The 17,509-nt window shown below is 35.6% G+C and overlaps 1 pseudogene across 1 annotated transcript in view, besides 1 other annotated feature; it reads left to right on the top strand.

The window, feature by feature from the left end:
- Positions 1-17,509, top strand: part of MAP2K4P1 (mitogen-activated protein kinase kinase 4 pseudogene 1) — a 38,811-nt pseudogene that overhangs the window by 1,457 nt on the left and 19,845 nt on the right. The window lies entirely within an intron of this gene.
- Positions 4,880-5,519: an enhancer, noted in NCBI's record as "OCT4-NANOG hESC enhancer chrX:72775946-72776585 (GRCh37/hg19 assembly coordinates)". NCBI's record gives its function as "activates a minimal SCP1, AML or CMV promoter by ChIP-STARR-seq in primed H9 embryonic stem cells {active_cell/tissue: H9 hESC(primed)}" and the evidence as "EXISTENCE:reporter gene assay evidence [ECO:0000049][PMID:30033119]".

Below are 17,509 nucleotides of genomic sequence, written 5' to 3'. Positions count from 1 at the left end.
AACCCCGTCTCTACTAAAAATACAAAAAAAATTAGCCGGGCGCGGTGGCGGGCGCCTGTAGTCCCAGCTACTCGGGAGGCTGAGGCAGGAGAATGGCGTGAACCCGGGAAGCGGAGCTTGCAGTGAGCCGAGATTGCGCCACTGCAGTCCGCAGTCCCGCCTGGGCGACAGAGCGAGACTCCGTCTCAAAAAAAAAAAAAAAAAAGTCATAACATTATCAATAAGCAACAAATTATAACTTTTTGTAGTTTAGATAACTGTATCTACTAGCCAGGAATTATAGAAGATAGAACCTTAAAATATTTTGTATAGCCTTCTGGCAAGACATATATATCTTTGCTTTTTTGGGGTGTTAATAAATGTGTCAGAGTTAAGATCAAAATTAATACTTTGCAACAGTTCTTCTCTTTCAAGAGGCAAAAAAAAAAAACTGTAAATGACATTTAAAATTTTTCCAAATATCTTATCCACGAAGGTCCACTAAGTCTGTGTCTAGAGGGAAAAGTATTTCACTGACTACTGCTTAAATGGTAGTTTCTCCTCACACTCAAGATTAGGCTAGGAAAGGCTATTTGAAGTACAGGAAGGGAAAGGAGTAGGGGGTGGACTTTGTAATGAGTGCAAGTAAGATATTGGAACTATGGTAAAAGTGGAGAAATTATGGCCTTGAAGAATGAGAAGGAAGGAAAGGGATGGGGAAAATCTGTTAAAATAGAAAGAGGCCCCTCATGTTTAGTCAGATGTCAAAAAGACCAAACATTCAGGGAAGTGCTATACTTGGCTAAACACACAAGTGTAGTCAAATCTGTCCATCTGTTTTCTGGCTTATATGTTGTGATTAAAAGTCATATGTGATTCCAAAGGTAATTTGTTTTGCTTAAATATAGGAGAATTTGGAATTAAGCAAGCTGAAGAAAAATACATTTTGTTTATCTATTGTCAGTAAACACGAGTAACACCATGGTTTCTAAATGATACCTTAGTATTAAGAATAGTAAATCGAGGAGTAGATGGAGAAGAAAGCAGGTCATGTAACATTATGCCTAACTTGCTAAGTGGGGTATGGGGGTATTTCTCCCATATAATTAATAGAGACCTGAGGCATGAGATCATTAACCATCTGAGAGGGTTTCAACCTTAAACAGCTGAAAAGAATTGTAACCTTTTAAAGACAGCTTTATTTTATTTATTTATTAAAGCATTCAATTTATTGATTTTAGTCACAGTTGTGCAACTGTCACTACAAACTAAAACATTTACATCATCCCCAAAAGAAATCTCTGTCCCATTTTTCAGCCATTCCCCATTCATCCCCAACACTTGGTAAGCATTAATCTACCTTCTTTTCTACAGATTTGTTTAATGGACATTTAAATAAATGGGATCATACACTGTGTGCTCTTTGTGTCTAGCTTCTTTCACGTAGCATATAATGTTTTTGTGGTTCATCAATGTTGTTTCATGTATCAGTACTTTATTCCTTTTAATTGATGAATAACATTCCATTGTTGGGATAAATTGCATTTTGTTTATCCACTTACCAGTTGATGACATATGGGTTGCTGCCACATTTTGAATGTTATGAAAATGCCGCTACGAACATTTACACACATGCTTCTGTTTGAACATAGGTTTTAATTTCTCTTGGATAGATAACCTATGAGTGGAATTCCTGAGTCATATGCTAAGATGATGTTGAACTTATTAAGAAACTGCCAAGCTATTTTTCCAAAGAGACTTCATCAATTTACATTCCCACAAGCAATGCAGGAGAGCTTCACTTTTTTCACATCCTCTCCAACACTTGTTATTGTCTTTTTTATTATAACTATTCTTATGGGTGTGCATCATGGTTTTACTTTGCATTTCCCTAATGACTAGCGATGAACATCTTTTCATGTACCTGTTGTCTGTTTGTATAGCTTCTGTGATGAAATGTCTACCCAAATCTTTAGCCCCATTTTAAAATAAAGCTCTTTTTGAAATACTTGTAGATTCATATGTAGGTGTAAAAAATAATACAGAGAGATCCTGTTTACACTTTACTTAGTATCCCCCAATAGCAACATCTTGCATAACTATTGTTATGCAGATTTAACAACCGCAAAATTGACATTGATACAATCCATCTGTTTTATTCAGATTTTCCATCATAGATGTACTCATTTGTGTCTGTGTGTGTGTCCATTTAGCTCTGTGCAATTTTATCAGAGGTATAGGTTCTTATGACCATCACTACAGTCGATACAGAACAATTACATCACCATAAGGATCCCTCCTGTTATATTTTCATAATACTTCTTACCCTCCTCCTTACATTATGTAAATTGTGTTATACTATATGTAATTTTGGGGGCTTAGATTTTTTTCACTCAGCATACTTACACTGAGAATCATCCAAGTTATTGTGTGTATCAGTGGTTATTTTTATTGCTGTGTAATATTCCACAGTATAGATTTACCACAATTTGTTTAGCTATTCACCCACTAAAAGGCATGTGTTGTTTTCAGGCTTCAGATGTTATGAATAAACTGCTATAAAAAAATTGTGCACAGCTTCTTTGCCCTTTAAAAAATTGGGCTATTTGTCTTCTTATGGATTTATAAATGTTCTTTATGCATCCTAGATAGAAGTCCTTTATTACATATATGATGTACAAGTATTTTGTCCCAGTCTTTGGCTTGCCTTTTCTCATGGTTAATGATATCTTTAGAATGGAAAAGTTTTAAATTTTGATCAATTCATCAATTTTTAATCACTTATGCTTCTGATGACATACCTAAGGAATTTTTGGCTAACCCATTATCACAAATATTTGCTCTTATGTTTTCTTCTAAGAGTTTTATTTATTTATTTATTTATTTTTGAGACAGAGTCTTGCTCTGTCACCCAGGCTGGAGTGCAGTGGCACGATCTCGGCTCACTGCAAGGTCCGCCTCCCGGGTTCACACCATTCTCCTGCCTTAGCCTCCCAAGTAGCTGGGACTACAGGCACCCACCACCCTGCCCAGCTAATTTTTTTTTTGTATTTTTAGTAGAGATGGGGTTTCACCATGTTAGCCAGGATGGTCTTGATCTCCTGACCTCGTGATCCCCCTGCCTTGGCCTCCCAAAGTGCTGGGATTACAGGCGTGAGCCACTGTGCCCGGCCGAGTTTTCTTGTTTTAACTCTAATATTCAGGTCTGTGATTCATTCTGAATTAATTTTTTGTGTATGGTATTAAGTAAGGGTCTAAATTTATATTTTTGCATTGTGGTTATGAAATTATTCTAGCACCATTTACTGAAGACTGTCCTGTTTTCATTGAATTGCCTTGATATTGATACAGGAGATAAAAAGAAATTATTTAGGCAAATAGCAAGGGCAAAAGAGTGTCCTCAGCAGAACTTCTTTTCCAACAAAAAGCAGCCCGAGAAATCATTTCTTTTCTGACAAAGGGAAGCCTGGAAGATCGTGCTGCAAACATAGATAAGGAAGCTGGAAGCTTGCACAGGGGATGCCAGCAGCTGTACCTATATTATAGAAAGGGCTACCTGGGGCCAGGCATGTCCACCATGGGGTCTCCACCTTCCCTTTTTTGTTAGCATGTGCACAGTAAGAAAGAAATAAGCAACATGGAGTAGCTCAGGCAGAGGACCCACCTGCATAGTAAAAGATTGGGGTTAGGGCTGCCAGAGATTTGCACCCTATGCAGATGGCACATATGGTCCTAAACGGTTTTTCAGGTCCTATGTCGATCAGATACTGCCTCCCAACTAGCTCATCTATAAAAACCCTTGCATTTCACTGCACGTTGGCAATCCATTTTTCTGGGAACCCTTTCTGTGGTGGACAAATTTCTTTCGCCCATTAAAATTCTGCTCTAAACCTCACCCTTTGTGTGTGTCTGCATCCTTGATCTCTGTGGCCATGAGACCAAGAACGTCAGATGTCACCCCATTCGATGAGGCTGCTTCAATATCTTTGTTGAAAACTGACCATTAATGTTTGGGTTTATTTTGGGACTCTTAATTCTAGTCAATTTTTCTCTACGTCTATCTTCATGCCAGCACCAAATCATCTTGAATATTGTAGCTTTATAGGAAGGTTTTAATTAGAACATTTAAGTCCATCAAATTTACTCTTTTTCAATATTATTTTGGCTATCCTGAGTCTTTGCATTTTCATGTAAATTTTAGGGTCATGTCATCAGTTTCTTTTTAAAAAACCAGCTGGAATTTTGATAGGAATTGCTTTGAATCTGTAGATCAATTTGAGAATGTCATCAACCTCACAATGTTGAAGTTGCACATTGTTTTGCAAAATTCTGGGATAAATTCTAATTGGTCTATATATTTTTTTTCCTTGTGATGTTGGTTTGGCTGTGTTATCAGACTGAGGACTTTCCCTGTTTTCTCTATTTCCTGGGAGAAACTGTGAAGTATTGTTATTTTTCTTCTTTAAACGTTTGATAGAATTCAGCAGGCCTGGGCTTTTCATTGTGGGGTATTTTTTTTATTACTAATTTATTCTTTTTACTTGTAATAGTTCTATTGAGATTTTCTATTTCTTCTTAAGTCAGTTTCAGTATTTTTGTCTTTCTAGGAATTTATTTCATATAAATTGTCTAATTAGTTGGCCTAAAATGTTTTATAGTTTTTCTTGTAATTTTTTTAAAAATTCTGTAAGGTTAGTAGGTAGTTATGTCCCCTTGTTCATTATAAATTTAGTAATTTTGTGTTCTCTTTTTTTTTACTTGTACTGCCTAGCCATAGATTTTTCTATTTCATTCATATAAACCAAGAATAAAATCCTAAGTCCCCCAACCCAATGAACAGACCACCTTTTGGCCAGGGGACCCCAGAGAAACCTGAAAAACTGACCAACAATGACAGAAAGGGAGGTCAGACATGCCTCATTACACCCCATCATTTTGAAGATTAGGCACTACTGACCAGCATTAACATTGAACTAGAGATCATAAGACTGACAAAACACTCTTTGTGGCAATAAGTTACCAAATTCCAACCTGATTCTGATGTAACATCACATGACGGCATATCCTTAAAAAATAAAAATATTTGACCCTAAAGTATATTTCTTTGATGTATTTTGAAATGGTCCTGCAAAACCATCTCTTGTTAGGGAAATTTGCATCTGTACAGAACCTCCATTAATGCAGCTGAGGCTTCCTTTCTAGATCTTTCCAAGATCTAGGAGAGATTAGATGAGAGTCTGACACCATTAAGGTCTGAAAAAAGACATTTACCATCTATTCTCTCTGAAGGGTGCTACCTGGAGACTTCATCTACATAACAAGAGCTTTGGCCTCCATAACCCTTCTTATCTTAACTCAAGCATTTATTTCTACTGACTTCAAGTTTTTTAAAAAAGTTAAACTCTTTCAACCAATTGTCAATCAGAAAATCTTTGAAACCACCCATGACTCCTGAGCCTCCACTTCAAGATATCCTCCCTCTTTAGGCTGTACTAATGTACACCTTCCATGGATTAATTTATGATCTTACATAAAATTCCTGTCTCCCTAAAATCTATAAAACCAAACTGTAACCTGATCACCTCAGGCACCGCTTGAATCTGTTCCCCAGGTCTTGGTCATTCATATTAGCTCTAAATAAACCTTCTTAAAATATTTTACAGGGTTTGGTTTTCCCATTAACGTGTATCTTTTCACAAAATCAACTGTTGGTTTCACTGATTTTCTGTATTATTTTTGTTACCGATTCCTTTGATTTGTCCAGTGTATAGTTTTGTTGTTTGTCCCCTTCAAATCTCATGCTGAAATATAATCCTCAATTTTGGAGGTGAGGCTTGGCAGGAGGTGTTTGTGTCATGAGGGTAGATCCCTCATTAATGACGTGCTGCTCTCCCCACAGTAATGAGTGAGTTCTTGCTGTATCTATTCATGCAAGAGCTGGTTGTTTAAAAGGGCCTGGCACCTCTTGCTCTCACTCTTGCTCCCTCTCTCACCATGTGAAATGCTTGCTGCGCCTTTACCTTCCATCATTAGTAAAAGCTTCCCATAGCCTCACCAGAAACCAAGCAGATGCTGGTGTTATGCATGTACAATCTGGAGAAGTGTAAGCCAAATAAAACTCTTTTCTATATAAATTACCCAGTCTCAGGTATTCCCTATATAGCAATGCAAAATGGACTACTACATAGAGTAGTCTTTATTCTTTTCTTTCTTCTGCTTGCTTTGGGTTAAGTTTGCTCTTCTTTTTCTAGTTTATTAAGGCTGAAACTGAGGTTATTGATTTGAGATCTTTCATATATTTTATGTATATATATATATATATATACTGATATGGTTTGGCTCTGTGTTCCCACCCAAATCTCATCTCAAATTGTAATCCCCTGGTGTTGAGGGAGGATCACCTGGTGAGAGGTGATTGGATCATCGGGGTCGTTTCACCCATGCTGTTCTTCTGATAGTGAGTGAGTTCTCAGGAGATCTGATGGTTTTATGAGGGGCTCTTCCCCCTTTTTCTTATTCTCTCACCTGCTACCATGTAAGACATGTCTGCTTCCTCTTCCACCATGATTGTAAGTTTCCCAAGGCCTTGCCAGCCATGTGGAACTGAGTCAATTAAACCTCTTTCCTTTATAAATTACTCAGTCTTGGGTATGTCTTTATAGCAATGTGAAAATGGACAAATATATGTACTCATTTATTTCCTTCTAGGGACTGATTTAGCTATCTCTGATACATTTTTCCATGTTGCATTTTTCTTTATACCCAGCTCGAAATTTTTGCTAATTTCTCTGATGATTTTTCTTTGCCCTATAGGTTATTATAAATTTGTTTAACTTCCAGATATTTGAAGATTGCCAAAATTTCTAAGTTAATTCCAGTATGGCTTCAGAGCATAAAAGTTATATAATATGGACCCCTTAAAATTTATTGAGACTTTCTTATGACCTATCATATTGTTTAATTTTTAGAAGGTTTTACATGCATTTGGGAAGAATATATATTCTGCTGCTATTGGTTGGAGTATTCTGAAAATATCATTTATGTCTACTTTATATTGCTATGCAAATCTTTTATATCCTTGTAGAATTTCTGTCTCTATTTTTTTGTCCATTACTGAGATTGGGGCATTGAAGTCTCCAGCTATTATTGTTGAATCTTCCATTTCTTTCTTCAATTTTGTTAGTTTTTACTTCATGTAGTATTGGGTGCTCTTGCTAGGTGAAGATATATTTATATTTTCCAATGAATTGATCATTTAATTATTATAAAATACATTTATTTATATCTAGTAATACAGTTGGTCTTAAAGCTCATATTTTTATTTTAGTATACATACTCCAGCTTTGTTATTGTTACTGTTTTCATCAGTTTCCCATCCTTTTCTTTAACATTATTTGTATCTTTGAACCTAAAATGTATCTCCTGTAGGCAGCATACCATTGGATCTTTTATTTTTAAATTGAGTCTCACATTTGCTGAATTTTTATTGGAGGCTTTAATCCATCAAATTTAATATTAATATTGATATGGTTCGATTTCTGCCTGCTTTTTGTTTTCAATACGTCTCGTGTTTTTTTGTTTATTGCTCCTTTACTTTGTTCTTTTGGATTTACTATCTTCCTAATGCACCATTTTAATTTATTTGTGTATTTTTAAACTATCTTTGGTGGTGTTTTCTTCATGGTTCCTCTAGGGATTAAGATATGCATTTTACCATATCACAGTCTATTTCATATTGATGCCAACTCAATTTCAGTAAAATGTAAAAACTTTGTGCCAATATAATTCCATTGCCTCATACCATTTTTTGTGCTATTATTGTCATGTATTATGTATAAATTTGTGTTTAATTAAATAATATACTTTTAATTTTTGCTTTACACAAATTTAATATCTTTCAAAGACATTAAGAAGAAAACACTTTATGAGTCCTATCTATTAATCTAAGTATTAACAATTTTTACTACTCTTTCTACCTGTAGATACAAGTTGGCTTTGGGAGTCTTTTTTTTTTTTTTTTTTTTACTCCAATAAGCTTCATTCCCTCATTATTCTTTTGTTTTATTGTTGTTATATATATCTTTATATGTTATCAGTCCAACAATAAAATATTATAATCGTTATTTTATGTAATTTTCTTTTGAATCACATGAGAGAGATAAAGAAAAAATATATACTTATACCATCTTTTATACTTATCACTATAATTACCTCTACAGGTGATCTTTGTTGTTGTTGTTGCTGTTTAAATGTAAATTTGAATTACTATCTAATGTCATTTCCTTTCTTCCTGAAGAATTTTCTTTGGTATTTCTTGTAAGTCTTCTAGCAACAAATTCTCTTTCTTTGCTTATTGTACATGTATTTATATTGCCTACATTTTTTTGAAGAATAGATTTGCTGGATATAGGATATTTGGCTGACTTTTTTTTCTAGTGCTTTGGGTATGTCATTCCATTCCCTCCTGGCCTCAATTACTTCTGATGACAGGTCAATTTTGGATTATATTGTGGTTGCCTTGTACATATTGAGTAGTTTTCCTCTTGTTGCTTTCAAGGTTTTTACTTTGCCTTTGAACAGTGTAACATATGTCTAGATGTGAACCTCTTTGTGCTTATCTTACTTGGAGTTCATGGGAAATTTTCAACCATTATTTGTTCAATTATTTTTTTTCCTACTCAATTTCTCTCTATCTTCTCCTGAGACTCCCATTAAATGTATGATGGCACACTTAATCAGGTCTTGAAGGCTCTGTTCATTTTTTAAATTCCTTTTTCTATTATTCAGATTAGAGAACTTTTATTGATCTATATAAAATTTGGCTGGTTCTTGCTTTGCCTACTCAAATCAGCTGTTAAGCACCTTAGTTACTGTCATTTTCAACTTTAGAATTTCAATTTTTGTAATAATTTCTTTTTTTATTGTCCTGTATTTAGTGATTCCCTTTGTCATACCTTTAATTTTTAAACATGGTTTTTATTAGTTCTTTGAATATATTTACAATAGCTTTATTGCTTTTTTTTTCTTTTTCAACTTTTATTTTAGGTTTGAGGATACACGTGCAGCTTTGTTACATGGGTAAATTGGGAGCCACTAGAGTTTGGTGTATAAATGATTTTGTCACCCAGGTAGTGAGCATAGTACAGTATAGGTAGTTTTTTGACTACTGCTCTCTTCCCAGCCTCCCCACTCAAGTAGGCCCCAGTGTACATTGTTCCCATCTTTGCGTCCATGCATACTCAATGTTTAGCTCCCTCTTATAAGTGAGAATATGCTCTATTTGGTTTTCGGTTTGTGCACTAATTCACTTTGGATAATGGCCTCTAGCTACATCCACGTTGCTGCAAAGGCCATGATTTCAAGGGGTTTTGTGGCTGCATAGTATTCTGTAGTGTATATGTACCACATTTTCTTTATTGATTCCACCATTTATGGACATCTAGGTTGATTCTATGTCTTTGCTGTTGTAAATAGTGCTTCAGTGAACATATGGGTGCATGTGTCTCTTTGGTATAATTATTTATATTCCTTTGGGAATATACCCAATAATGCCATTGCTGAGTCAAGTGGCAGTTCTGTTTTATGTTCTTTGAGAAATCTCCAAACCACTTTCCACAGTGGCTAGACTAATTTACATACCCACCAGCATTGGATAAGCATTTCCTTTTCTTTGCGACCTCACTAAGATCTGTTATTTTCTTAATTTTTAATAATAGCCATTCTGACTGGTGTGAGATAGTATCTCATTGTGGTTTTGATTTGCATTACTCTGATGATTAGTGATGTTGAGCCTTGTTTCATATGCTTGTTGGCCACTTGTATGTCTTATTTTGAGGAGTATCTGTTCATGCCCTTTGAACATTTCTTAAATGGAGTTGGGGTTTCTTTGCTTGTAAATTTGTTTAAGTTCCTTATAGATGGTGGATATTAGACCTTTGTTAGATGTATAGTTTGCAAATATTTCTCCCATTCTGTAGGTTGTCTGTCTACTCTGTTGAAAGTTTCATTTGCTGTGCAGAAGTTCTTCAGTTTATTTAGGTCTCACTTGTCTATTTTTTGTTTTGTTGCAATTGCTTTTCGAAATGTCATTATGAAATCTTTGCCAAGGCCTGTATCCAGAATGGTATTTTCTAGATTTCCTTCTGAGGTTTATGACTTATTTTTAGGTCTTTAATCTATTTTGAGTTGATTTTTGTATACGGTGAAGGTAAGGAGTCCAGATTCAATCTTCTGCATATGGCTAGCCAGTTATCCCAGCATCATTTATTGAATAGAAAGTTCTTTCTCTAGTACTTGTTATTGTCAACTTTGTCAAAGATAGATGTTGTCAGTGTGCAGCCTTTAGTATTTTTGTAGGGTGGATCTGTTGGCAATGAATTCCCTCAGTTTTGTTTGTCTAAGAAAGAATTTCTTTCCACTTTTGAATGATTTTTTTTACATTATGTAGAATTTTGTATTAACTTTTTTTGTCCTTCAATAATTTAAATATATCACTCTATTTTCTTTTTTTTGATAGTTTGAATTTCTTTTTTAAATTATTTTTCTTATTTATTATTTATTTTATTTTAAGTTCTAGGATACGCGGGCATAATGTGCAGGTTTGTTACATAGGGATACATGTGCCATGGTGGTTTACTGCACCTATCAATCTGTCTTCTAGGTTTTAAGCCTCACATGTATTAGGTATTTGTCCTAATGCTTTCCCTCCACTTGGCCCCCACCCCCTGACCAGCCCTGATGTGTGATGTTCTCCTCCCTGTGTCCATGCATTCTCATTGTTCAACTCCCACTTATGAGAACACATGGTATTTGATTTTCTGTTCTTGTGTTAGTTTGCTGAGAATGATGGGTTCCAGCTTCACCCATGTCCCTGAAAAGGACATGAACTCATTCTTTTTTATGGCTGCATAGTGTTCCATGGTGTATATGTGCCACATTTTCTTTATTTGGTCTATCATTGAAGGGCATTTGGGTTGGTTCCAAGCCTTTGCTATTGTAAATAGTGCTGCAATAAACAAACGTATGCATGTATCTGTGTAATAGAATGATTTATAATCCTTTGGGTATATACCCATTAATGGGATTGCTGAGTCAAATGGTATTTCTGGTTCTAGGTCCTTGAGGAATTGCCACACTGTCTTCCACAATGATTGAACTGATTTACACTCTGACCAACAGTGTAAAAGTGTTTCTGTTTCTCCACAGCCTCACCAGCATCTGTCGTTTCCTGACTTTTTAATAATCACCATTATAACTGGAGTGAGATGGTATCTCATTGTGGTTTTGATTTGCCTTTCTTTAATGAACAGTGATGTTGAGCTTTTCTTCATATGTTTGTTGGCCACATGAATGTCTTCTTTTGAGAAGTGTCTGTTCATACCCTGCACCCACTTTTTGATGGTGTTGTTTTTTTTTCTTGTAAATTTGTGTAAGTTCCTTGTAAATTCTGGATATTAGACCTTTGTCAGATGGTTAGATTGCAAAAATGTTCTCCCATTCTGTAGGGTGCCTGTTAACTCTGATGATAGTTTCTTTTGCTATGCAGAAGCTCTTTAATTAGATTCCATTTGTCAGTTTTGGGTTTTGTTGAAATTGGTTTTGGGGTTTTAGTCATGAAGTCTTTGCCCATGCATGTGTCCTGAATGGTATTGCCTAGGTTTTCTTCCAGGATTTTCATGGTTTTGGATTTTATATTTAAGTCTTTAATCCATCTTAATTTTTGTATAAGGTGTAAGGAAGGTGTCCAGTTTCTATTTTCTGCATATGGCTAGCCAGTTATTTCAGCACCATTATTTAATAGGGAATCCTTTCCCCATTACTTGTTTTTGTCAGTTTTGTTGAGGATCAGATTGTTGTAGATGTGTGATGTTATTTCTGAGGTCTCTGTTCTGTTCAATTAATCTATATATCTGTTTTGGTACCAGTACCATGCTGTTTTGGTTACTGCAGACTTGTAGTATAGTTTGAAGTCAGGTAGCGTGATGTCTCCAGCTTTGTTCTTTTTGCTTAGTATTCTCTTGGCTATATGGGCTTCTTTTTGGTTCCATATGAAATTTAATGTAGCTTTTTCACATTGTGCAAAGAAAGTCAATGGTAGCTTGATAGGAATAGCCTTGAATCTATAAATTCCTTTGTGCAGTATGGCATTTTCATGATGTTGATTCTTCCTATCCATGAGCATGGAATGTTTTTCCATTTGTTTGTGTTGTCTCTTATTTCCTTGAGCAGTGGCATGTAGTTCTGCTTTAAGGGGACCTTCACATCCCTTGTAAGTTGTATTCCTAGGAATTTTATTCTTTTTGTAGCAATTGTAAATGGGAGTTCACTCATGATTTGGCTGTCTGCTTGTCTATTGTTGGTATGTAGGAATGCTTGTTATTTTTCCACATTGATTTTTATATCCTGAGACATTGCTGAAGTTGCTTATCAGCTTAAGGAGTTTTTGGGCTTAGACAATGGAGTTTTTAAATATACAATCATGTCATCTGCAAACAGATAATTTAACTTCCTCTCTTACTATTTGAATACCCTTTATTTCTTTCTCTTGCCTGATTGCCCTGGGCAGAACTTCCAATATTATGTTAAATAGGAGTGGTGAGAAAGGGCATCCTTGTCTTGTGCCAGTTTTCAAAGGGAATGCTTGTTGCTTTTGCTCATTCAGTATGATATTGGTTATGGGTTTTTCATAAATAGGTTTTATTATTTTGAGATATGTTCCATCAATACCTAGTTTATGGAGAGCTTTTAGCATGAAGAGATGTTCAATTTTATCAAAGGCCTTTTCTGCATCTATTGAGAAAATCACATGGTTTTTGTCATTGGTTCTGTTTATGTGATGGATTATGTTTATTTATTTGGGTATGTTAAACCAGCCTTGCATCCCAGGGATGAAGCTGACTTGATTGTGGTAGATAAGCTTTTTGATGTGCTGCTGTATTCAGTTTGCCAGTATTTTATTGAGGATTTAACTTCAATGTTCATCAGGGATATTGGCCTGAAATTTTCTTTTTTTGTTGTGTTTCTGCCAGGTTTTGGTGTCAGGAAAATGCTGGCCTCATAAAATGAGTTAAAGAGGAATCCCTATTTTTCTATTGTTTGGAATAGTTTCAGAAAGAATGGTACCAGGTCCTCTTTGTACCTTTGGTAGAATTTGGTGGGATTCCATCTGTTCCTGGGCTTTTTTTTTTTTTTGTTTGGTAGGCTATTAATTACTGCCTCAATTTCAGAACTTGTTATAGTATTCAGGGATTCCACTTCTTCCTGGTTTAGTCATGGGAGGGTGTATGTGTCCAGGAATTTATCCATTTCTTCTCAATTATCTAGTTTATTTGCATAGAGGTGTTTATAGTATTCTCTGATATTAGTTTGTATTTCTGTGGGTCACTGGTGATATCCCCTTTATCATTTTTTATTGTATCTTTGATTCTTCTCTCTTTTCTTCTTTATTAATCTAGCTAGCAGTCTGTCTATTTTGTTAATATTTTCAAAAAACCAGTGCCTGGATTCATTGATTTTTTTGAAGTGTTTTTCATGTCTTTATCTTCTTCAGTTCTGCTCTGATCTTAGTTATTTCTTATCTTCTGTTAGCATTTGAATTTGTTTGCTCTTGCTTCTCTAGTTCTTTTAATTGTGATGTTAGGGTGTCCATTTTAGATCTTTACAGCTTTCTCATGTGGGCATTTAGTATATAAATTTCCCTTTTAACACTGCTTTAGCTGTGTCCCAGAGATTCTGGTACATTGTCTCTTTGTTCTCATTGGTTTCAAAGAACTTTTTGATATCTGCCATAATTTTGTTATTTGCCCAGTGGTCCCTCAGGAGCAGGTGGTTCAATTTTTATGTAGTTGTGCAGTGTTGAGTGAGTTTCTTAATCCTGAGTTCTAATTTGATTGCACTGTGGTCTGAGAGACCCTTTGTTATGATTTCTGCTCTTTTGCATTTCCTGAGGAGTGTGTTACTTCCAATTATGTGATTGATTTTAGAATAAGTGCTGTGTGGCACTGAAAAGAATGTATATTCTGTTTATTTGGGGTGGAGAATTCTGTAGATGTCTATTAGTTCTGCTTAGTCTAGAGCTGAATTCAAGTCCTGAACATTCTTGTTAATTTTCTGTCTCATTGATCTGTCTAATATTGACAGTGGAGAGTTAATGTCTCCCACTATTATTGTGTGGGAGTCTAAGTTCCTTTGAAGGTCTCTAAGAACTAGTTTTATGAATCTGGATGCTACTGTATTGGGTGCATAGATATTTAGTATAGTTAGCTCTTCTTGTTGCATTGATCACTTTACCATTATTTAATGCCCTTCTTTGTCTTTTTTCATTTTTGTTGGTTTAAAGTCTGTTTTATCAGGAACTAGGATTGCAACCCCTGCTTTTTTTTTCCATTTTCTTTGTAAATATTCTGCCATCCCTTTATTTTGAGCCTATGCTTCTCATTGCATGTGAGATGGGTCTCCTGAATACAGCACACCAATGGGTCTTGACTCTTTATCCAATTTGCCAGTCTGTGTCTTTTCACTGGGGCATTTAGCCCATTTACATATAAGATTAATATTGTTATGTGTGAATTTGATTCTGTTATCATGATCCTACTTGGTTATTTTGCTCACTAGTTGATGTGGTTTTTGCATAGTGTCATTGGTCTTTATATTTTGGTGTATTTTTGCAGTGGCTGCTACCAGATTTTCCTTTCCATATTTATTGCTTCCTTCAAAAGATCTTGTAAGGCAGGCCTGGTGGTGACAAATTACCTCAGCATTTACTTGTCTGGAAAGGATTTTATTTCTCCTGTGCTTATGAAGTTTAGTAGGGCTGGATATGAAATTCTGGGTTGAGTATTCTTTTCTTTAAAAATGTTGAATATTGACCCCACTCTTTTCTGGCTGGTAGGGTTTCTGCAGAGATATCTGCCGTTAGTCTGATGGGTTTCCCTTTGTGGGTAACCCAACCTTTCTCTTTGGCTGCCCTTAACATTTTTTTCTCCATTTCAACCTTGTTGAATCTGCCGATTATGTGTCTTGGTGTTGCTCTTCTCGAGGAGTATCTTTTTTTTTTTTATATTTAACTTTAAGTTCTGGGGTACATGTGTAGAACATGCAGTTTTGTAACATAGGTATACACATGTCATGGTAGTTTGCTGCACACATCAACGCATCACCTACATTAGGTATTTCTCCTAATGCTATCCCTCCCCTGACCCCCACCCCTGACAGGCCCTGGTGTGTGATGTTCCTTCCCTGTGTCCATGTGTTCTCATCATTCAACTCCCACTTACGAATGAGAACATGTGGTGTTTGGTTTTCTGTTTTTGTGTTAGTTTGCTGAGAATTATGGTTTTCAGCTTCATCCATGTCCCCACAAAGGACATGAAGTCATTCTTTTTTATGGCTGCATAGTATACCATGGTGTATATGTGCCACATTTTCTTTATCCAGACTATCATTCATCGACATTTGGGTTGGTTCCAAATCTTTGCTATTATGAATAGTGCCGCAGTAAACATACATGTCCATGTGTCTTTATAGTAGAATGATTTATAATCCTTTGGGTATATACCCTGTAGTGAGATTGCTGGGTCAAATGGTATATCTGGTTCTAGATCCTTGAGGAATCGCCACACTGTCTTCCACAATGGTTGAACTAATTTACACTCCCACCAATGGTGTAAAAGCATTCCTATTTCTCCACATCCTCTCCAGTATCTGTTGTTTTCTGACTTTTTAGTGATTGCCATTCTAAATGGTATGAGATGGTATCTCATTGTGGTTTTAATTTGCATTTCTCTAATGACCAGTGATGATGAGCTTTTTTTCATGTTTGCTGGCTGCATAAATGTCTTCTTTTGAGAAGTGTCTGTTCATATCCTTGTCCCACTGTTTGATGGGGTTGTTTTTTTCTTGTAAATATGTTGAAGTTCTTTGTAGATTCTGCATATTAGCCGATTGTCAGACAGACAGATTGCAAAAATTTTCTGTCATTTTGTAGGTTGCCTGTTAATTCTGATGATAGTTTCTCTTGCTGTGCAGAAGCTCTTTAGTTTAATTAGATCTGATTTGTCAATTTTGGCTTTTGTTGCCATTGCTTTTGGTGTTTTAGACATAAAGTTTTTGCTTATGCCTATGTGCTGAATGGTATTGCCTAGGTTTTCTTCTAGAATTTTTATTCTTTTAGGCCTTATGTTTAAGTCTTTAATCCATCTTTAGTTAATTTTTATGTAAGGTGTAAGGAAGGAGTCCATTTTCAGTTTTCTACATATGGCTAGCCAGTTTTCTTAACACCACTTAATAAATAGGGAATCCTTTCCCCATAGCTTGTTTTTGTCATGTTTGTCAAAGATCAGATGGTTGTAGATGTGTGGTTTTATGTCTGAAGCCTCTGTTCTCTTCCATTCATCTATATATCTCTTTTGGTACCAGTGTCAAGCTGTTTTGGTTACTGTAGCCTTGTAGTTTAGTTTGAAGTCAGGTAGCTTGATGCCTCCAGCTTTGTTCTTTTTGCTTAGGATTGTCTTGGCTATACAGGCTCTCTTTTGGTTCCATATGAAGTTTAAAGAAGTTTTTTCCAATTCTGTGAATAAAGTCAATGCTAGCTTGATGGGGAAAGCATTGACTCTATGAATTACTTTGGATAGTATGGCCATTTTCTGGATATTGATTCTTCCTATCCATGAATATGGAATGTCTTTCCATTTATTTGTGTCCTCTCTTATTTCCTTGAGCAGTGCTTTGTAGTTCTCCTTGAAGATGTCCTTCACATCCCATGTAAGTTGTATTCCTAGGTATTTTATTCTCTCTGTAGCAATTGTGAATGGGGGTTCACTCATGATTTGGCTCTCTGTTTGTCTATTATTGGTATATAGGAATGCTTGTGATTTTTCCAGATCGATTTTGTATTCTGAGATTTGCTGAAGTTGCTTATCAGCTTAAGGAGATTTGGGGCTGAGACGGTGGGGCTTTCTAAATATACAGTCATGTCATCTGCAAAGAGAGACAATTTAACTTCCTGTCTTCCTATTTGTATACCATTTATTTCTTTCTCTTCCCTGATTGTCCAGAGAACTTCCAGTACTCTGTTGAATAGGAATGGTGAGAGAGGGCATCCTTGTCTTGTGCCAGTTTTCATAGAGAATGATTTCAGGTTTGCCCATTCAGTATGATATTGGCTGTGGGTTTGTCATAAATAACTCTTATTATTTTGAGAAACATTCCATCAATACCTAGTTTATTGAGAGTTTTTAGCATGTAGGGCTGTTGAATTTCATCTAAGGCCTTTTCTGCATCTATTGAGATAATCATGTGGTTTTTTTCATTGGTTTTGTTTATGTGATGGATTATTTTGTTGATTTATGTATGTTGAACCAGCCTTTCATCCCAGATATGAAGCCAACTTTATGGTGGATAAGCTTTTTGATTTTCTGTTGGATTCAGTTTCCCAGTATTCTATTGAGGATTTTCACATCAATGTTCATCAGGGATATTGGCCTGAAATTTTTCTTTTTAGTTGTGTCTCTGCCAGGTTTTGGTATCAGGA

The sequence above is a fragment of the Homo sapiens genome, chromosome X (genome assembly GCF_000001405.40).
Source record: "Homo sapiens chromosome X, GRCh38.p14 Primary Assembly".
Lineage (NCBI taxonomy): Eukaryota > Metazoa > Chordata > Mammalia > Primates > Hominidae > Homo > Homo sapiens.
Note: the sequence above shows the minus strand (reverse complement) of the source record. Positions and strands in the feature narration are given on the sequence as shown.